General features: G+C 40.7%; 2 annotated features.

Annotated features, from left to right (window-relative positions):
* Positions 19579-20383: an enhancer, noted in NCBI's record as "OCT4-NANOG hESC enhancer chrX:43309398-43310202 (GRCh37/hg19 assembly coordinates)". NCBI's record gives its function as "activates a minimal SCP1, AML or CMV promoter by ChIP-STARR-seq in naive and primed H9 embryonic stem cells {active_cell/tissue: H9 hESC(naive and primed)}" and the evidence as "EXISTENCE:reporter gene assay evidence [ECO:0000049][PMID:30033119]".
* Positions 21325-21525: a silencer, noted in NCBI's record as "peak7375 fragment used in MPRA reporter construct". NCBI's record gives its function as "represses an SCP1 promoter by STARR-seq MPRAs in K562 erythroleukemia cells {active_cell/tissue: K562}" and the evidence as "EXISTENCE:reporter gene assay evidence [ECO:0000049][PMID:32103011]".

The following is a 22124-nucleotide window of genomic DNA, read 5'->3' as shown; positions in this document are numbered from 1 at the left end:
GGTAGATAAAACTTGTCTTAGAGTCACTACAGGTGGTTTCAGTAAAACTGGTCTTTGGGTTACAGCAGGCCATTTCAGCAGCCAAGCTTGCAGAGAATTACATTCTTGGAGCAATGTAATATGCCTTGAATGCTTTTTCCCCCTGGCCCCTCAACTCTGATTTAGTTGAGTATGACAAGAATGACCCAATTGTATAATTAACTTTTATAATTCAAAAAATGATTCCTCTGTTTCAGTGGTTACATCTACCTTGTCTTTCTGTTGCATTTGTGCTTTTTCCTGTTTTCTTTTCACTAGTTCAGATTTTAGTTTTCCATTTCTTAAAGGAACTAGCTTGTTATTTATATATTAGTTGTACTGTTTTTCCTAACTCATAAATTTTACTTTAGTATTTTCTTATTTCTGTTTTGTGGATTGTTTCTTGTTTTTTGAATTGAATGTTTAATTTACTTTTATGCATTCACCTTTATCAATTTTAGTGTTTAAGGGTCTGAATATTTCTATCATCAATGTCATATTTTTAAAATAAATTTTGCATTTTCATTTTATCTCCTCCATTTAACAGAAAATTTAAAAATACCCTGCAAATTTCCCAGCTTGTTTTGCAACCTTCTTGACCATGTGACTCATTCTATCTAATGAACTGTGTGGTATGTTTCACTTTCGGGTGAAGGCAGTGTAGTAGATAGTATGACTTCTTCATGTTCTCTCTCTCCTCTGAGTAGCTAAAGGTGAAAGACTGCATCATGATTAAAGGAGCCTAGATTCCTGATTTACTGCTTTGAACAAGGGTCAACAAACTTTTTCTATAAAGGGACAGAGGCCAGATAGTAAATATTTTTGGTTTGTTGGCCATGGTGTCTCTATTGTAACAACTCACCTCTACCATTGTCGCCATAGACAATACATAAATGAATGGGTGTGGCTGTGTTCTAATAAAGTTTTATTTATAAAAAAACAGGGGCTGGCCAGATTTGGCCTGTGAGTTTGCTAACCCCTCATTTAGAGGAGAAAGCTACCCAGGATCAATGTTCAAACTGCATCAGATCATATCAAACATGAGAAAAAACACTTCTATTGTATTGCCACTGAATTTTGTTTTGAATTTTTTTTTTCCTACAACAGATGCTATTATTTTCCCTAGTGGTCAGGAATACTCTGAAAACCAGATTTAGTGATTTATTCAAGAGCTATAGCTAATCCTTGACAAACTTGAGATTTTAACAAGGTCTATAGAATTCTAGAACTCGTGTTATTCGTGATATCATGTTGTATTTCTATCTTTACTTTTTCTATTGAAAAAATTTTAGCCAAGAAAGGTTACATATGTCCAAAGTCATGCAGCCAGTTAGAACTTTAGCAGATTATATTATTGTTCAATAATATTTACTCCCTTCTTCTCATCCACAGGAAAAATACATTTCCCTGATACATTGACTTTGGGCTTGTCCATGCTTTGGCCTTTAAGTGGGACAAGTTATTCTCTATGTCCCTTGTGTTTCAGCTTGACCACGTACCTTGCTTTAGCCAACGATATAATAGTAGACGTGATGCAAGCAGAGATGTGAAATGTGCTTCTACAATTGAGCTCATCTTCCAGTTTCTCTGTCATTGTCCTGGCTAGCTGCTATCCCTTCAGCCTGGACTCTACAGTATCAGAGTTATGCCCTGGCAAAAAGGGATCAAGCCAGGCTGAAGCCACTGATTGAAGCAGAACCCCCCAAACAACCCACAGATATGTAAGAGAGAATAAATTATTGTGGTTTTAATTCACTGAGTTTTAAAATGGTTTATTACATATAATAATTTTTGAAAATAGAAAAATCATAAAGGCAGAGACTCCCCAAAACAAGTTTTCTGAATCCTTGCCTAGTTATGTTTTCTATGGAGTCATTTTTGATAGACACTTTTGATAGTGACAGGAGGCAGCTAAATGCCTAGGCAGATAGGGGCAGATACCCAGTGAAGCCCCACCTCCAAGCCAAAGACAATTTAAAGCCTGAAAGCCAAGCTACAACTTAAATCCCCTGATTGGGGTTGAAAACTTGTCCTTCTGTTTGGTGCGTTTTCCTCTGATTAATCCCCACCCTTTGCCTATTTTACATATACCTACTCTTTTCGAATTGGTTTTCTACACTGTCGTGCCTACCACTGAGTGTTTTCAATTTAACCTTTTCTGCATACTCACAAACCAATCAGCACACACTCCCATCCTGTGCCTATGAAGACCCCAGACTCAGTCGGTAGAGGGGGAGATGACCTGATTTTGGGGAAGAGACAACTTGACTTTGTGGAAGACAACCTGCCCTTCTCTCTTCAGCTCCCCTCTCTGCTGAGAGCCATTTTCATTGCTCAATAAAATTCCCCACCTTTACCATCCTTCAACTGTCCATGTGACTTCATTCTTCTTGGGGGACCCACCGAGTGCAGATACCCAGAAAAGGCTGTCACACTGACCCTTTGCCCTCACCGGTAGAGGGCAGCCGCCCCATATGACAAGACAAGGGGCCAACTGAGCTGCCAACACAACACCATCCATGAACAGCAGATTTAAAGGAGCACTGTAACACCCACTCTGGGTCTTTGGGGTCACAGGCACCATCACTTGGGTGCTGCTGCATTCCCCTTGGGGTGACATGCCTGGTCTGGCCGTGGGCCCTGCACAGAGTTTGCTCCTGTGTCCACGTTCAGAGTGGCTGGCCAGGTCCCGCACTCTCTTGCTCACACCTGGTCTGTGGCGTAGGCCCTGCATGGGGCTTGTTCCTGTGTTGGCACCCTGAGGGGCTAGCAGGATCCTGCACTCACTGGCTCATGTGCTCCCTCCTGCAAGGGGTTGAACGCAGCAAGCCAAGTAGACAGGGCACCCCTACTGTGAGTCTGGCTAAGGGGCTGAGAAAAATCCTGCATCACTTTCACATATCCTTGAATTTAAAATATTTCAGTTATAAGTTCCTTACCCTTACATATACTACACCTTTCTCCACTGTGATAATGTGTTATGTTGATTTGATTTTCTATACATTTTTACAGCTAGCCACAGTTCACTTTTCTATTATCTAGAAATAAATAAGCAGGGTTGAAAACAAACTAAAACCCACATCCTCTCCCATTTAAAACTCAGGTGGCATTTAAAGACCATTGTTTAATCAAAAAAGCAACCAGTTGAAACCAATGATTAAAATGTCAATCTACCCACTAACTACATTCTTAAATGAGAAGAAAATAGCATTTACCTCCCTTCTCTGTCTTTCCCCTCTCTTCCATATACCCCAAAAAGGCAAAGCTGTAAATCTATAACATGATCCCCAGAATTGATAGCAAAGCAAACAGCTTTTGGTTAGTCTCATTTCTCCAAGGAATAGATTTTCCATAACCAGTATTTTTTCACAGGCAAAACACAGAATGGTTGGAAAATCTTCAGGAAGTCTGGACGTTTTTGTGAGACAAACATTGACTGTGCTGAAGCCCATAGCTAGGCTGATCTGTCTTTTCCACTTAAAGAGGATTATTATATAAGCAGCAATATTAGACTCCTAGGCATAAAAATTGCATTTTAATACAGTATGGAGTTCTCTGACCTTCCTGTAAAAGGGACTGAAATATAAACAAATGGTAATTTGTTCTTAAACTCCACCATGCAATTCAATTTTTGCTTATGCTATCAATTTTTTTCTTATTTCCAATGGTTCATTTAAAATAATATGCTTGGCTTATTTTAAAAAGAGTCATTATGTATTTTTTCTGCTCTGAACCTCTCTTAGGTCACCTTGCCAGTAATTGAGACCACAAGACAATTTGCCTCTTAATTGTTTCTTTGTTTCTGCTGTGGTTGTACTTCACTTATTTTCTTGTTTTTAATTATCAGGTTGAGAGGTAACAGATATTCTTTTGGTTTGTAGTAAAGAAGTTAGGTGTAACAATATGATCTCTTAATACTTTCATTTGCTGAGTATTGATTTCTTTCTTGCGAGTATCCTCATTCCTCTCTCTCTGGCCCTTCTTTTATGCATAGTCCCTCATTCTTCCTGAGGTGTCAAAATTTGCCTCTATACCCAAAACTGAGTTCTTTTGTCTCAAGTTTTTATATGTTTTGTTTCTTCTCTGATGGGCGAGTATGTGAAAGGAGAATTGGATGCTCTAAGCTGCTGATTCTTTGTTCTCATGACAACCTTGATGGCATTAGAAAGAAGACATGCCAATGCCACAAGGAATTCAGTGCAAATGAATGTTACAAATAGCTCTTAATTGTAGTTTAAATCTGTTCTATGCTAGAAACAACCCCAAGCTTCAGCAGGGGAGGTGGTGAATAAAAGTTCATTCCCAAAGGCTACCTACACTACACAATTCACAACTTTGTGTTTCCATAAATACACAATATTCCATTCATAAGTGTCTTCTTTTTTGTTAAAAAAATTCACCGAACACCACACGCACCTGTAACTTAGTGATCAATCCATCTACAGGTAGCTCTCTTATTTGGCATGCAATTGAGATGATCTAAAGTAGTACAATTCCTTCTCTTATTTGCCACAACAAGAAGTGCATCGCTAGGACTTATGTCTGGCAAACAAACAACAAAACCGTGTCTGCTTCTACGAGTCTATAGAGCTAAAGGCAGTTGGGCCCCAAGACATTTCCAAATCTCCCATGGAGCTGAAGTGAAACCCAGTCATGACTTTCCCCACTTGGTCATTTTTATATTGTACCATTTTCATTTTTATTTTTGTCACAGCTTGAGAGTTCAATGCTATGACTTCTTTAATGAAAAAAGTCATTTCCACCTTCGAGGTATTTATCTGTTTTAATTATCTGTTTTAATCTTTTATTGAAAAAATTGTATTTAATCTTGGCCTAATTATAGCAACTCCTTTGACATTTACCACCCTTTCTATAATCGTTCCCCCTCCAAAATAACTACATAGTCATTTATCTCCAAAGGGCTATAGTAACAGCTGGTACTCACAGGTTTCCACTGTAGGAATGGGCTCCTCTTAGCATACAAGAGGAACTGCCTGATAATCTGATGTTCTCTTTTATTTCTCTGGGCCACGATTCCCCATCATCAGCTCTCCATGCTGCTGGTCTAAATGGTCCTTTGTCTGAACTCAGGCTAACTCAAGACACTCCTAGATCCAGCCTCTATCGAGTTCCTGGCTCTTTTGCTTCTGTCTGGGACCATTGTGTGAGGTTCAAGATGTAAATGGACAGAAGCCCAACTGCATCATCCTTTGTACACTTCCCTCATTCTAATCTGTGCTGACAGATCAATGGGTAAAATAAATTTAAACATGTTCTGCCTTCTGAGTGTCACACATCACAAATCAAGTGATGTGAATTAAGTTTACAGCATCTTTGCAGTGTTGTCTCTGAAACACTAACCACTTTGCATGGAAGAATTTTATTTTTGGCCCAAGGCATCCCTTGGCTGCCTGGAATAAGCAGGGATAGAAAACCGACAATGCACAGGGTGATGTATTTGGTAGAGTCACAGTTGGATACAATAAAATACTGATGAAGGAATTAACCCTTAGTTTCAGCAACGGATGTTGAACATCTGCTAAGCCCAAGTCACAGTATTAGGCAAAGAGTATGGCACCCAAGGCATGCTCTCTAAAGGTATAAGACCAGATAGGAAGCTGGGTATGGCGGTTCACGCCTGTAACCCTAGCACTTTGGGAGGCCAAAATGGGAGGATTGCTTGAGGCCAGGAGTTCAAGACTAGCCTGGGCAAAATAGCAAGACTCCATCTCTAGAAAAAATAAGTTAGGTGGGCATTGTGGGATTCACCTATAGTCCTAGTTACTTCAAGGCTGAGACAGGAGGATCACTTGAGTCCAGGAAGTTGAAGCTGCAGCGAGCCATGATTACACCACTGCACTCCAACCTAGGCTACAAAGGAAGACCTTATCAAAAAAAAAAAAAAAAAAAAAAAAACAAAAACCAGAGGAGGCAATAGGCCTGGGTGCAAAATTCCCCTGAGGCCAGGTGTGTTTGCTTATGCCTATAATCCCAGCATTTTGGGAGGCTGAGGCGGGTGGATCACTTGAGGTCAGGAGTTCGGGACCAGCCTGGCCAACATGGTGAAACTGAAAATATAAAAATTAGCTGGGCCTGGTGGTAGGTGCCTGTAATCCCAGTTACTCAGGATACTGAGGCAGGAGACTCACTTGAACCCAGGAGGTGGAGGTTGTAGTGAGCCAAGATCATGCCACTGCACTCCAGCCTGGGTGACAGAGCAAGACTCCATCTCAAAAAGAATCCCCCTGAAATTTGTCAGAGAACCAAGAATCATCCAAATTAAATACAACTCATTTTATCTGTAGTTGGGAAAAATGATCACGTATAAACGAGGCAGAGGAATAAATAATACAGTTATCATTTCCTTTTACATTAGGACCACAAATGTATACAAGGTTTTGACCTCGTATAGCATGATGGTATTTACAACTTGCTGGTTAAAAAATAACCGAACAAAAAAGGTAAGGAAAGCATGATGGTATTTACAACTTGCTGGATAAAAAATAACTGAACAAAAAAGGTAGTGATGTTATGTCTATTGTAATGGTTGGCTAAGATAATTGACGAGTATGCCTATCCAAAGGCAGGTGAATGGACAAGTTGTTGTTTCCGAGTATCTTATAACTCACTGATCCAACAGTTGACTATTTTCTCATCTGGTTAGATTTATTGGATCATATAAGCAATTAACCATGTGAACATGATTTAGGGTTGTAGTAGAAACTTTTGGTTCCCCTAGCCAGAATCCTATGGTTTATCCTTGATTTCAAGTGCAGCTATGTTGGACAGTTTCTGTGTGTATTTTCAACATCTTGTCTCAATGCCTACTATATTGCCTGCTAGTTTTTTGTTTTTGTTGTTGTTGTTGCTTGGCTTCAGAGCTTTCTCCAAAGTTGTAGAGGCTTATTCAGTCCTTATGGAGGGAAGCCATAGAGCAGGGAGATGTTAACATCCTCAGGTTCAGTCAGCACCAAGGGACAATTCTAAGGCACTCAGAGGGTCCCCACTTGCCCACTGCAGTTACCGACACAATAACATAAACCTTTATTAGATTTTTCTCCTTCCTTCCTTCACTCTCTCTGTTTTTTCATACCTGCCCTGGCATTAACTGCCAAATAAACCAGTGCATTCAAATATGTGTAATACATTCTGCATACATAGAGAAACGTTTGGAAAGATACACACCAAACTACATCTTAAAGTGGTTACCTATGGGGATTGGAATTGATGTATATGTGGGATAGGGATTGTAGCAGATACTATTGTTGTCCTGATCATACCTCCTTGGCATTCATTATTTCTGTAAATGCCTATAGTTTCATACTGCAAGCACATGCATCTCTCTCCAAGAGGGCTTTCTCTGGATACAGGAGTGTGCTTGGTCTGCCTACAGAGTCAGCCAGAAGGTCTGAGGAGTTGTCACACTCAGAGTAGCCCTCAGCCAATGAGGTATGAATGATGGTAGATAAATATTTCAGCTCCCCACCCTCAGATGGGACGACTCTGAGACATGTTCTATACCAGAGACTGGCAAACTTTTTCTGTAGGGACTGAGAGTAAATAATGCAAACTTTGAGATAACACTGTGTGTCATAATTAGTCAACTCATAGAAAACATGTGAACAAAAACAGGGCATAGTTCTATTCCATTAACACTTTACTTACAAAAATAAGCAGTGAGTCTGATTTGGCTCATGGCTGTAGTTTTCAACCTCTGTTTTGTACTATTTACTAGAAGTTCATAGGGGAATTGAGCCCCAACTGAGCCCTGAGAATTTACTCATCGGCACATCGTTTACTGACTTTCCTTCTTCCCTCTCCTGTATAATTTCCCCCACTCCCTCACTGTGCTCTTTGGCCTTCCAAATAAACTGCTTGTCCCCAAATCCTAATATCAGGGTGTACTTTTGGGGGAATCCAATCTAAGAGAGCAATTTTACCTTTTACTTCTGTATAGTTCTAACTTTAATTTTACAAGGACATATTCTTTTAAAACCTTTTAAAAGAAAAAACTAATAAAGAGCATATGGGAGATGAATCCTGGTTCCTGGAGCCTGAACCAGCTACTCGTAGAATAGTCTTAACAGAAGGAAGGACAACTCTGGCACTTTGGAGAATTAAGCCCGTGAGTCTCTGAGGGAACTCTGCCTTTGACAATAGTCTGTGTTAACAAGTTCACCTTGTTAACACTTGCCAAAAGTGTTTCTGAAGACCTAATGGTGAATCAAATATAGTGAACTATTTACTTTAATATTCTCTGTTTGCGTACCTTATAAGTTTACAGCAGTCATTTCAAGTTCAAATGGACTAAATTAGGACTCTACTACTTTACCTTCACTCTGCCCATCAGCTTCTTTCTGATCTACTAGAAGGACCTAAGACAGCAAGGGAGTCCTGTATCAGAAGAAATAATTAACAATACTAACGACCACCAAATCTACTTACTTTTTCTTGAGTTTGGGCAGAAGGTTGTTTTTTTTTTGTTTTTTTTTTTTTTGTTTTTTTTTTTTTGAGACAGAGTTTCGCTCTTATTGCCCAGGCTGGAGTGCAATTGTGCGATCTCGGCTCACTGCAACCTCCGCCTCCCAGGTTCAAGCAATTCTCTTGCCTCAGCCTCCTGAGTAGCTGGGATTACACTGGGATTACAGGCACCCACCACCGTGCCCAGCTAATTTTGTATTTTTAGTAGAGACAGGGTTTCTCCATGTTGGTCAGGCTGGTCTCGAACTCCCGACCTCAGGTGATCCGCCCGTCTCGGCCTCCCAAAGTGCTGGGATTATGGGCGTGAACCACTGCACCCGGCCAGAAGCTTTCTTTAACCTGCTTGAACAATCAAATTGCCATCTAGAGAATAATAATAATAAAATCAGAATAGTGGTTATCTTTGTGGTAAAAGGAGGGGTAGAATTTGGGGTGGGCAGGACATGGAAGATTTTGGGGATGCTGGCAGTGTTCTATTTCTTTATTTGGATGGTGGTTACATGAGTGTTCATTTTGTGACAAATTCTTCAGTTGTATGCCTTTTTCTTGTGTAAGTTTCTGTATGCGTGTTATATTTCACAAACTAAAGGATTAAAATAGTCATGGTGATCATTTTGCCTGTAGGGGAGTCAGAGATTACCTCCAACTACTTTAGGTTTTTATATGGGCTCTTGCTAGCTCTAGAAACCAAACTGATGACAGGTTGATTAACAAGAGAAAAGCATACAAATTGTGTTAGTTGTACATGTACATGGGGCTCTTCATGAGAGAGTGAAGCCAGTGAAGTCCAAAGAAGTGGTCAAAGCACAACATGCTTTTATGCTTTTTAGACAAAAAATGATAAATTTGAGAAGAAATGACTGGATAAAGAAAATCTGGCTAGGGGCAGTACGTTTTCTAGGGGAGTCACTGGGAGATATATGGGGGATATAAAACTAGTGGAACATAAGAGTTACTTCATTAAGTATGTTTATTTAGGTCAATTTCCCCCTGTTCCCAGTCTCTGGTGATAAGGGCTATTTTCTCACCCTGGTACAGTGAGAGTACCCCTCCAAGAAGAACCTTTATGGCTTGCTGTATGCAGGAAGAGACAGGTCAGCTAGCCCTTCCTGAAACTACAATTTCTCCAATGTTTTCAACTTAAAATAATCAACATATAAGTCCTGCGTAGTTTGGGATATTCCTTCATTTTACATTACTTTACTCCTTCATTTTCCCAGTTTGAAACATCACTAGAAGTTTTGAACATTAAAAGTTGAGTTGGTGGCAAAAGGATAACTAGCATGAGATTGTTTTCTCTTGGCATATGTTTATTCTCTGGACTTTATCCACCAGACATGCATTGGCAGGAACAAAAATATGTTCAGGTTCTTTCAAATAATGTTGACATTCAAATATGTTGACATAACCAACAATCAGATTGGTTAGTTATCATAGACAGGATTTGGAAGACTGGTACAAAGAGGTACCAGGTCTGTACCTGACTTGTTGAAAAAAATAAGAGTTAATAAGATCAAGACACAGTTTGAAAAATGGTGCACAGTAGAGGATCAGAGGGAGAACAGAATAGAGTGAGACAGTCTCCAGTCAGCTTTTTAATAGTCTATCAACAGACAGGGAAAAGATTTGGTCAATGAAAAAAAGAGGTCTTTTTGTATTGTTTTGTTTTTCGTTTACCTAAACAAGAGTAGTGGGAAAATAACAAAAAAGTGGAGAAAATAGGTGGAAGTAGACTTACTTTTTAAAAAAATTGTGGGTACCTATTAGGTATATATATTTATGGGGTAATCAGATATTTTGATATAGGCATGCATTACGTAATAATCACATCATGGAAAATGGGGTATGTATCCCCTCAGGCATTTATTCTTTGTGTTACAAACAATCCAATTATACTCTTTTTTTTTTTTTTTTTTTTGAGACAGAGTTTCGCTCTGGAGTGCAATGGTGTGAACTCGGCTCACTACAACCTCTGCCTCCTGGGTTCGAGCGATACTCCTACCTCAGCCTCTCAAGTACCTGGGGGTTACAGGCATGCACCACCATGCCCAGCTAATTTTGTATTTTTAGTAGAGATGGGGTTTCACTATGTTGGTCAGGCTGTTCTCGAACTCCTGACCTCAGGTGATCCACCCACCTCAGCCTCCCTAAGTGCTGGGATTACAGGTGTGAGCCACAGCGCCCGGCCCAAGTATACTTTCTTAGTTATTTTTAAATGTACAATTAAATTATTATTGACTATAGTCACCCTGTTGGGCTGACTGAGGAGTGTTGGTTTCTTCCAGAAATTTGGTAAGATTTACAAGTAATGCATGGGAAAATAATTTGGACAAAAATGTTGTAAATCCCAGGACAAAACCAAGTATTCTTTAGTTCCTCAACTATCCCCCATATGCACATATGTCCCATCTGATGAGACATAAGTACAAGCCAAAAGGTTAAAAGAAAAGGGGCCACAGGAAGTCCATTTGGCCTAATATACCCAATCCATCTGATAACTGCTTGGCACCCTTTTGTATCCATTTATCTTTTTCGTATTTTGGGGCATTTACCTGAAAATCAATAATATCAGTCAGGAATAAAGGCGAATTCATAAATTGGGTGGAAAAATGAAAAGGGGTCAGTTTTTGACTGTGTACTTAGCAGCCTTTTCTGCCCTATCATTCCCTAAAGATATAGTATCAGTCTCCTTAGTGTGGGCTGGACAATGAACAATAGCAATTTTAGTATGAGGGTGAACAGCCTGTGATAAGGCAGCAATTATATGTCCATTAGCAACAGGAGTACCAGCAGAGGTTCAGAATCCACGGGATTTCCAGATTGTGCCAACAGCATGACAGACTCCAAGAGCATATTGGAGTCAGTGTAAATAGTGGCAGTTTTTCCTTTTGCCAATGTGCAAACTCTAATAACAGCTATAAGTTCAGCAGCCTGGGCTGACTTTATAGTCAGCAAAGAGTATTCCTCAAGCGTTTCATGTGGGGAAACTATGGCATAGCCAGTTATTATGTTTCCCTTAAAATTAAATTTGCAAGAGCCATTACAAAATAGCAGCAAGGCTAGGTTGTCTAAAGGAGAGTCTGAGAGATCCCCTCATGGCTTTGAACCCATTTCTATAGCTGCTAGGCAATCAAGTGGAATGGAATGAGGCTCTTCATCATCAGGGAGGGGTAGGAGTGTAGCAGGATTTAATGTCACAAAGGCATAAGATGATGGAGAGATTGGTTCACAGGGCTTGCTCCTAGGTGCTCTGTCCATGTGTAGAGAGGTGCTGCATCTTAAGAACTTGGAAGAGAGCAGACACAGCATGAGAAACATCGAGGTGGATGGGGGAGCCTAATGTATGGGTGCTGACTTTAGTAATTAGGGCGGCAGCCGCTGCTACTGCATGCAGGCATGGGGGCGTGCCTGCTGCCACAGGATCCCATTGGCATGAGAAATATGCTACAGGTTGTATTTGAGAGGCAAAGGGTTACCTTAGAATACTTGCAGCAACCCCACTATTTTCATGACAATAGAGGTGAAAAGGCTTATCAAAATTAGGTAAGCCAAGAGCAGGGGGTAGGACAATGCTAATTTCAAGGCTTTGAAAGAAGTTAATTTTTCTGAAGGCCACAGAGTGGCCTCTGGAGTGGCATCTAGAAAGAGGGCATAGAGTGGTTTGGCAATAGCCTCAAAATTAGGAATCCATTGCTGACAATAGCCAGCTGCCCCTAGAAACTTACACAGCTGCTTTTTTGTCTTGGGGAAAGGGATGAACAAAATTGACTGGATGCATTTTGGGGTGAACTTCTGAGTGCCCTGAGATCTTTCATGTCCTAAGAAAGTAACCGTTGTTTGCACAAACTGAAGTTTAGACCTGGAGGCTTTATGGCATGGTTCAGTGAGTACTTTTAGTAGACTGAGAGAGTCTGTAGGGGTATCTTCTTTAGTTTGGTTACAAAGCACAAGGTGGAGCGTTGGGTAGAGGCTACAATCCAAGTGGTTTTAAGGATTGGAGAGAATATTGAAGGGTACTCACAATATCCCTAAAGCATGAGAGTCCATGTTAATTGTCTTCCTCTAAATGCAAAGAGAAACTGTGAGTCAGGGTGCAATGGAATCAAAAAGAAAGCTGAGCAGAGGTCAACTACTGTAAACCAGGCTGTATCACCAGGAATTGAGGTAGGGATAGCAGCCAAATTGGGGATTACAAGGTGGTGGGGAATTACAAAGGTGCTTATGGCTCTTATATCTTGCACCAATCAATAGATTTGATTTCCATCTGAATCAAATTTTCCTTCATTCTTTACTGGTAAGATTGGGGTGTTACAGGGTGAAGTGGTAAAAATAAGCATGTCTTATTGCAAAAGGGAGTCTATGATATGTTTGATTCCTTGCTCTGCATCTCATGAGAGGGGACACTGAGCTACTGATGGGAAATATTTGTTCCTTTTCTCTGCAATGCATACAGGTTCTGTACTCAGTAGCAGTCCAATCTCATTTGCATGTGAAGCCTAGGGACTAGCTGGGACATCTTTTAAGATTGCATCTTCTTTAGAGGAATTTAAATCAAGAAGAGTTTCCCTGAGAGAGCAGGAAGCTTGAAGTTTGTTCTGAATGTAGGGAAATAAAAATGCCTTTTTTATTATATTGTATCATAGCACTAAACTTACATAATAAATTTCTACCTAAAAGATTTGCAGGTGAGGAGTCAGAAACTAGAAAGGCACGGTGGGTGTTAAGAGGGCCTAAGGATGTTTGAATGTCCTGAGATATGGGCAGTAAAATAGGTTGCCCAGAGACCCCAGTAGCTTGAATAGAATCAGAGGTAACAAGCAGAGATAATTCCACTGAGCAAATAGTAGAGGAAGTCCTATCAGTGTCAATTAAATCCAGTTCCTGATCCTCTACTTTAAGTTGAATGGTGGGCTTTGGAGTGCAAGGGAGAATCGGCTGACCCCACCAATCAATGGGGTATCGTGCCACAGGAGGGGAAAAATGAGCCTTCTGAGGGTGCTGGGTTTTAGGGAGAGTTCCTTCCTTCCTTCCTTCCTTCCTTCCTTCCTTCCTTCCTTCCTTCCTTCCTTCCTTCCTTCCTTCCTTCCTCTCTCTCTCCTTCCTTCCTTCTTTCCTTCCCTCCTTCCTTCCTTCCCTCCTTCCCTCCTTCCCTCCTTCCTTCCTTCCCTCTCTCTCTCTTTCTTTCTTTTTATAGGACAGCAGTTTTTCCAATGCCCCAGCTTTTTGCAGGATCTGCAAATTTCTGAAGGCAAACTAGAAAAGCCTTGTAGCTGACCAAAGGTATGAGAGGACTTTGAATCATTCTTAGAGGCTTGCCTTTGTTTTTGTAAGAATTCAAGCTCCAAGACAAGAACTGTTGATTTTATTTTTTCCCCTTATTTTCTTGCAAGCTATTTTCAAAGAATTGAGTAGCTGCTTCTATTATAATGCTTAGAGACTGACCAACCGAAACAACTATACTATTTTTGAATTGACTTTTTATATCAGGAAGAAGATTCCCAACCAGAGCAGAAATTCGAAGATTTCTATGCTCTGGAGCTACTGGATCTAATGCCGTATGCCTTTGAAAACCTTGCATAAATTTCTCGACAAATGCCTTGGGGTGCTCACTCTCTTCCTGGATACACAATTTGACCTAGACCAATTCATCTTAGGAGGGAAAGCCTCTAATATTGTCCCTATCAGGCCCTGAATATCAGCATCTTAGCTGAGCTATCTCCTCATTGGCAGGAGGGCCAGGGAGGGGCTCCGGCCATCTGTTCCCTCTGTGGAGGGGGTTTTCCCCAGAGGGCTGTCTGGCCTGTCTGGCCAGTTATTAACTGCAGTATGATCATGAGAGGGAAGTACACCTCTTAGCAGCCAGTCAAGGTTCCTATGAATGGGATTACGGATGGCCACTGATTTCTCCTATTCTTCTCTAAACTTGGTAGGATCTTCTGAAAGTGGAGACAAAATGGCTTTATAATTTAAAAGATCTGTTGCTGTCCAGGAAACAAAAATTCTTTGAGTAGGGGGTCTAAGATACATTCACAGAGAACATTGCGTAGGAAGATTTGGAGCTGATGGAGTCTGATTCCAAGGCCCTGGGAAATAGGAGAGGTTGTAAGGGACAGAAAAAAAGTGAGCCTTGCCGCATGTTCTTGGAATCTGTGCCAGTTTTACTTCTTGGTTGTTAAGTTTTACACAAATGACTGTATGCCTTGGATTTTGAGATCAAGAGGGCTTTTTGTAAATCACCCTGGGAAAAGAAGGTTAAAGAAGGCAGCTGTATATCTAAGGGGCTTTCTGGGGAGGTTGAAGGAGTCAAATAATTTTGTTGAGGAGACAGAATAGGAGGGAGAGGCTGAGGAGATAGGGCTGGATGTTGAGGAGGGGGGTTCAAATCAGGGACCCTGAGATCCAATAGATCCTCTGGTGGGTCAGGGACAGGGAGCTGGGGATAAAGCAGGGTGTAAGTGGGTGGAGAAGGAGGATTTATAGTGGGATCGAGTTTCAATTTGTGTTCTAGGTCTGTTTTTTGCTCTTTAATTTTGTTAAGGGAATTTCTAAGGCTAGCCATAATTTTCTGGGTTCTTCATTCTACCTGATCTTCCCATAAAGGTTGATGTTTTAGAATGAAAGCTCTCTCAAAATTTTTTCAAATATAGTAGTCTTTCTATTTCAAAGGATCTGTCTTTTGGTCATTGACAATTGGGATCTTCATTAGTGTATATATTCCAATGTTCACTTAAGCCTTTTGATGGAGAGACTAGAAGGTAACTTTCCAGGCTTAGAATAAATCTTTACAGGGATGCAAGGGACATTTCTGGAGTGGGCACAGAAGATGCAGCCCCTATGATCTAAAAATTCACTCTCAGAAATAGACTAAGAAAGCAAAGACCTTTGTTGCCACAGGAAATTAAGGAGAGTGTGCAGACGATGTCTCTGGTCTCTCATGGAATGTGAGTCGCCTTTATTTATAAATCCACTAATCTCTGACATCAGGCAGGCAATACTGGGATGGGAGTTTCCCAGCACTGATCCAGACAACAAAAGACTTCATGAGTTGGCCTCTTATAAAACTCCCTGAGAGCTTGGTACATTTGGACAAAGAAAGTGCTGCTTAATATCTTATGTGTCTCAAATCCCCAGTCTTTTCAGACTGGCTGCCTAACACAAACCCAATTCTTTGTGCCCCTCTGATGGCAGTGATTAGAGAGGGTGTCTTCTTTGGTTGCAAAGCCAAGCCCTCAGGACACATAAAACAAGACAAGAGGGGAACCTCATTCATTTTATTTGTTGTTTGTTTCAGGGACCCAGAGCAAAGTTTGTTTAGACAGACACTGGCCTGATGAGAACTGTAAACTCACTGATCTGTGAAGGCCGATTCGAACAGCAGGATTATAAGGACCTATGCCTGTGTTCTCTACCTATGCCTACGGTTCCTCTCCTTATGGCAAACAACACAAAAAGACAGTGAGAAAATAAGATAAAGACTATATCTAACAGCAAAAGGATCAAATAGAAATCTAGAGTACTCACAAAAACACCAAAAGTCACTTTATACCCAAAGAACTAGTTCACGAGTGTTTCCTCCTGTCGATCCCAGTTTGGAGAGGGAAAAAGACGCAGAGAGTCTTACCATTCTTGCCTTGACCAGCTACCACCACAGCGATCCAGGAATCTGACAGTAAGAAATCGTACCTTTGACAGTCTTTTGTCAGAGGTACAGGATCTCAGCTGTAGCAGTTCTGGAGTAAGCAATGTTCCAGCCAGTGAAGAATTGCCCCACACTGGGCAATGACTTCCGTATGGGAGTCAGAGATTACCTCCAACTCCTCTTAGGCTCTTATGCAGGCTTTTTGGTTGGATCTAGAAACCACACTGACACTAGGCAGATTAACAAGAGAAAAGCATACAAACTGTGTTAGTTTTACACATATATGAGGATCTTCACAACAGAGTGAAGCCCAAAGAAGTGGTCAAAGCAAGACGCTTTTATACTTTTTAGACAAAGAATGAAAAATGTGAGAAGAAGTGACAGGATAAAGAAAATCTGGCTAGGGGCAGTAAATTTTCTAAGGGAGTCTCTAGGAGGTGGATATATAGGGGTTTATGAAACTAGTGGAACAAGGGTTACTTCATTAAGCATAGAGAAATATACTTTGTTGAATATATTTATTCATCTTAATTTCCCCCAATTTCCAGTCTGGTGATAAAGGCTGTTTTCTCACCCTAGTATGGTGAGGGTACCCCTCCCAGAGGAATCTTTATGGCTTGTCACATGCAGGAAGAGACAGGTCAACTAGCCCTTTCTGAAACTACAATTTCTCCAATGTTTTCAACTCAAAATAATCAATATACTTATCTGGCATATTTTGGGATGGCATATTGTCCTTCACTCTCATGCTCATTCTTATACTTAGTACTTAGAAAGAAGGGAATCCATGCTTCACAGCAGTTTACCTCTTAAGAAAAATTCCTGATTTCTCTGCAATGTTTCTTTTTGGCAGTCATGGTGCTGTGCCATTCAGATTTCCCTTCAAAAATGCACTTGCCATTCAACTGCAGCACCTTCAAGAGCTACCTCAGAGTAGACTTTGCATTCATCCTGTGCAACTCTTAGCCAAAGGCTGAGCATGGTTGGGCTTACTAGGACATGGCCATTTCTGTCCAGTGTGAGGCTCCTCTAATGGGCAGTTTTTGATCTGGAGACCCTCTTTGGGTTGACCATGACTGTCTGATCTGACTTGCCATTGGAGATGCTCCCTGCCAAATTCTACTTTCTGCTCTTTTATCTTTCAGGGAGCTATTCCTCTAATAAACCTATTGATAGCAACAGGAGGCAGGGAAATTCTGGGCAGAAGAGGATGGGTCCCCAGTAAGGGGACTCTTGCCAGTACCCAAAAGCACTCGCCCCAGCTCCTGCACCTGCTTACCTGTGTGCCCCCTCCCATGAGGGGTGGAGCACAGTGGGTCAAGTGAGTGGAGTTTGCCCCTGCCAGCACCCACATACTCCAGTTCCTGCTTGTGAAGGGGTCAGGGAAATATCCTGCTTCACTATTGTATTCCAATTTAGTCTCAGCATCTCCCTCCTGGAGGACCCAACTACATACTTTCAGACTGAGAGCAGCATGGTCAGCAGTGATTTGGTTTGCAGGCCTTTTTGGTATAAGACACACTGATCAGCTTGTGAGTGTCAGTAAAAAGGACTAATTAGAAGAAATGCCTTTGTTAGAAAATGTTGGCCAGGCACAGTGGCTCATGCCTGTAACCCCAGCACTTTGGGAGGCTGAGGTGGGAGGATCACTTGAGCCCAGGGGTTTGAGACCAGCCTAGGCAACATAGCAAGACCCCATCTACACACACACACACACACACACACATACACACACACATACACACACACACACATACACACACACACACACGACGATGAGCTGGGCTTGGTGGTATGCACCTGTGGTTCCAGCTTCTCAGGAGGTTAAGTTGTGTTAGAAATGCAAAATGCTTGTTCCCCAGTGCTGCAAAGAAATAGCACTTGAACATAATTTTCTCAGCAAGGCAATTTTTACTTTCTGCAGAAAGGGTGTTTCTCACAGATGGAACAATGGCAAGAGCACACCTGGACAGGGGAGGGGAAGGAGTTCTTATTCCTGACACAGGCAGCCCCTACCACTGTGTCATTCCCCTATTGGCTAGGGTTGGCCCGCACAGTCTAAACTAATTCCGATCAGCTATTTTAAAGAGAGCAGGGATATGAGCCAGAGTGGTGGGGTGAGTAGTTTGGTGGGAAGGATGGTTAGGAACAGGTAACTAAAGGTGGCTTAAGTCAGAGCAGGTGACTAGGAGTGACTCAGGTCAAAGCAGGTGACCAGGATGAGTCAGGATGGAGGAGGTGACCAGGGAACAGATATGAACTACTGATTAGGAGTGGTGGGAAAGTTGTTTCCTGAAACTAAAAGCAAGGGAGTGAAGAGAACCAGGAAGTTAAACTTTAAAATGGAGAATCAAAGAATAAAAGAGCTGAACATACTGATGGTTTTAAGTGCTAAAAGGGACTTCTTCCTTTACCAAACTTTCATCAGGCTTCTCTGAGCCCTATTCTCAACTAAGCCACATCTGGTCTAGCCCAGTTCAGCAAGAATCAAGCCAAGCCAGTTTAGCAAGAATTCACCCCAGATCCTTGATACCTAACCAAGTTCTTCTTGGTAATTTTTTATCCATTGACTCTCTTACCCTGCCTATTGGCTATAAATGTCCAGCTGCCCATGTTGTATTCAGAGTCAAATTCAATCTGCTGTATTGCAATCGTCTTGAATAAAGTCCTCCTTGCCTGTTTAACTTGTCTGGTACAATTTCTCTTTAACAGTTCCAGGCACTCTGTTGGGTGTAATAGTATAAGATTATGTGAGATCTAGCCCCTGCCATTCAAGAGCATGCAGTCCATTGGACTGTGCATTAACTCAAGGGCAGTTTATTCATAATGTTTACTATCTTGACCTCCATCCTGTTATGGAAATCCCACAATTCCCTTGAAGAAGCAGGCTGGGTCTAGACTTCAGAGGCTTTGCCTTCTTTGCCAATTCGATTGAAAGGAAGATTCATGGAGTCTTCTTGTGCTTCTTTGGTGGGAAAACCAGTCACTCCTAGTCACCTGTTCTGACTTAAGCCACCTTTAGTTACCTGTTCCTAACCATCCTTCCCACCAAACTACTCACCCCACCACTCTGGCTCATATCCCTGCTCTCTTTAAAATAGCTGATCGGAATTAGCTTAGACTGTGAGGGCCAACCCTAGCCAATAGGGGAATGACACAGTGGTAGGGGCTGCCTGTGTCAGGAATAAGAACTCCTTCCCCTCCCCTGTCCAGGTGTGCTCTTGCCATTGTTCCATCTGTGAGTGCTAAACCCTTTTAGGCTTTCCAGGGCTTGGGTTGTATAACACCTGTCAAGATATCATCTTACTACAGCAACATAATTTTCCCTTAACCCAGGTGTGAAACACTTAAAACATATTTTTAGTATTACCTAGAGAAAATTTATTCTTATCTATCCATAATCAGAAAAATATTTTGAAAGGGATTATTTATATTAAATATTTAGCAGGTATCTAAATTTGGACTACATAAGTATTCCTCCTAAAGGATTTCCAGGGAATTTGAAAATAGAGGCTTGCTCATGTCAGAAAAACAATATTGGTACAGACTTTTGGGATATAAAGGGCTCTCTGCAAGGCTCCAGGTTTTGTTCTTGCATTCATTTGAAGCAGATTCTATCTGGAGAGAGTTTCCTTAAATTAGGACCCAACTCTATTGTGGAAAGTGCTAAGGATAAATGTCTCCATCCAAATACATAGAGACAAAGGATCCTTTAGGCTCATCATGCTGTGTTGTCATCAGAGGGACTGCGGTTCTATAATATGCTTTGTTCTGTCTGAATAGGTTCAACTTGTTGGAATGAGAATTACCTGATGTTTACAGAACTAGAATACCAGGGGAAATGCCTCCTTAGCGAGATGATTACCACTTAATGGGCCTCATTGTCTGATAAATAAGAACCTGATTAGGAGGAAGGCTGGAACTCACACATAGGGACTTTTGCGAGATGTTTCTACTGTAGCAACTCAGCGCCTTCAGTTTCTTTTTCCTTTCATCCATCCAGGAAATAATGGCCATGATTCTCTTTCTAAAGCACAGATGTTTTCTGCTTGGCAACTCCAATTGCTCTCGGTTATCCACTGGCTTCAGAATAAACTCCAACTCTTTCAGTATTCTCATGAGGGTGGCTTTCAGACTGGGGAATTTGTATTCCCAGGGCTATATGAAGTAGACTGGGGAATTTTTACTCCCAGGGATACATTACATCTTGCCAAGTGGGACACAGGCATGGTTGGTTTTTAAGCAGTCACTTATAAATCCTAAACTTCCATATTTACTTTTTCTTTTAGTAGAAAAAGTCACTTGGGGTCAAGGCCTCAAGCTGAGTTCTCTTACATCCCCCCCTTTTATTTCACAATCTCCTTTATCTTATTTACAAAAGAAAGGCACATTTCTTACTCAATAAAAATCCTGTCATAGAGTTTTCCCCTGAGTTATACCTCCTGGGTAACAAACACAGAGACAATTACAAATGTTGGTGTCAAAGGCTCTCCTTAAATCAAAAGTAACCTCTATCCTTCTTAAGGAGATATGCATTTCCAATAAATAATTGTTTTTTGGGTTTGATAATTATCAAATTTTGTAATATATTCCATTTTGATCAAACGTGTACTAAGAATAAGATTTCTTTTTGATTGAAATATAATTAACACTTGAGCCTTAAGGTCACAGGTAATTTTAAAAATTAAAGTTTCAATTTAATATACACATTCTTATTGCAGGCTGGCATGTTAGGGTAATCAATGGAATTTTACAGCACAAAAATGTATTTCAATAGGATAAAATTATAGAGGGGAAGTAATTTGGATATATAAGTTCAAGGAAAAAAAGGAATAATTTAATATTTCTGACAGGAGAATAGCTTTTTCATGTATTTTTTAAATTGAAGATTATGGTTCAAATTGCATTCGTATTTATAATCCTTTGAATATATTTAAAAGAGTGATGTGACAGTTTTAATTTAAAATAACAATATTTACAATATACTGGAAATGATATTCTTTGCAAATATTTAAACTTGTGATGAAAAAGTTTAGACATCAACTTAAAAGTGCCTGAGGAGATACATATTTTTTAAAATAAATTTTTTACTTTGAAATACATTCAGATTTATAGAAGCATCCCAAAGATAGTACAGAGTATTTCTTTTTGCCTTCACATTTCTCAAACTAAAAATGTAACATCAACAGAAATAACTAACTTGCAGCAACCAGCCCAGGAAACCAACACATTATCTACAGTAACCAGCCAGGAAGCCAACCTACTATCTATGAGTCAGACTTGTAGACAGTCAAGCTGCTGTCGCTAATAACCCAGGAAGCCAAACAATAACTCCTGTAGCAATCAGCTCCAAATGGCCAGGACTTGATTAATAACTGACAGCTTCCCTAATTTTTATCCCTGCTTTCAACTTAGGATCAACCTGAATCTGCTCCTCAAACGAATCACACAGGATGCCCAGCTTCATTTAGCCCATTTCCTGCTTCCCCATGTCAACAGCTTCCAATTAGGGCACATCTGAAGCTCTCTCTCTTTTCTAACACAAAGTTCTCCCACTCTTCTTACTGGCTTTTGAGTCTCTGCCAAAACACAAGTGATGATGGCTAACTCCCTTGCTATAGCAAGCTCTGAGTAAATAGCCTGTGTACTTGTTCTCATTTGAGAGCTCTTTATTTCTACAATGTATATTTTATATTTGAGTTGTAATCCAAGCATATATATCTTTTTTTTCAGCTTATTTTCTTATTCAAATTTTTCCAGATTTAGCCATTGGGAGTTATTTCGTTTTCCTTTCACATACTCCCATCCTTTCGTTTGAGCACTTCCTTAATTTCTGGCACTACAAAATGCTCCAGGCTCATTTTGTATATTTCCTTCCCCAGTTCTAGAATCAGTCATTTCTTCAAGGAGCCCTAGTTCCCCTTACTAAAGAATGGTATTTAGAAACTAAAGTCTGAACACCAAGTGTATTTTCTTGCTACTGGAA

The sequence above is a fragment of the Homo sapiens genome, chromosome X (assembly GCF_000001405.40).
Source record: "Homo sapiens chromosome X, GRCh38.p14 Primary Assembly".
NCBI lineage: Eukaryota > Metazoa > Chordata > Mammalia > Primates > Hominidae > Homo > Homo sapiens.
This window is presented reverse-complemented; position numbering and strand designations above follow the sequence as displayed.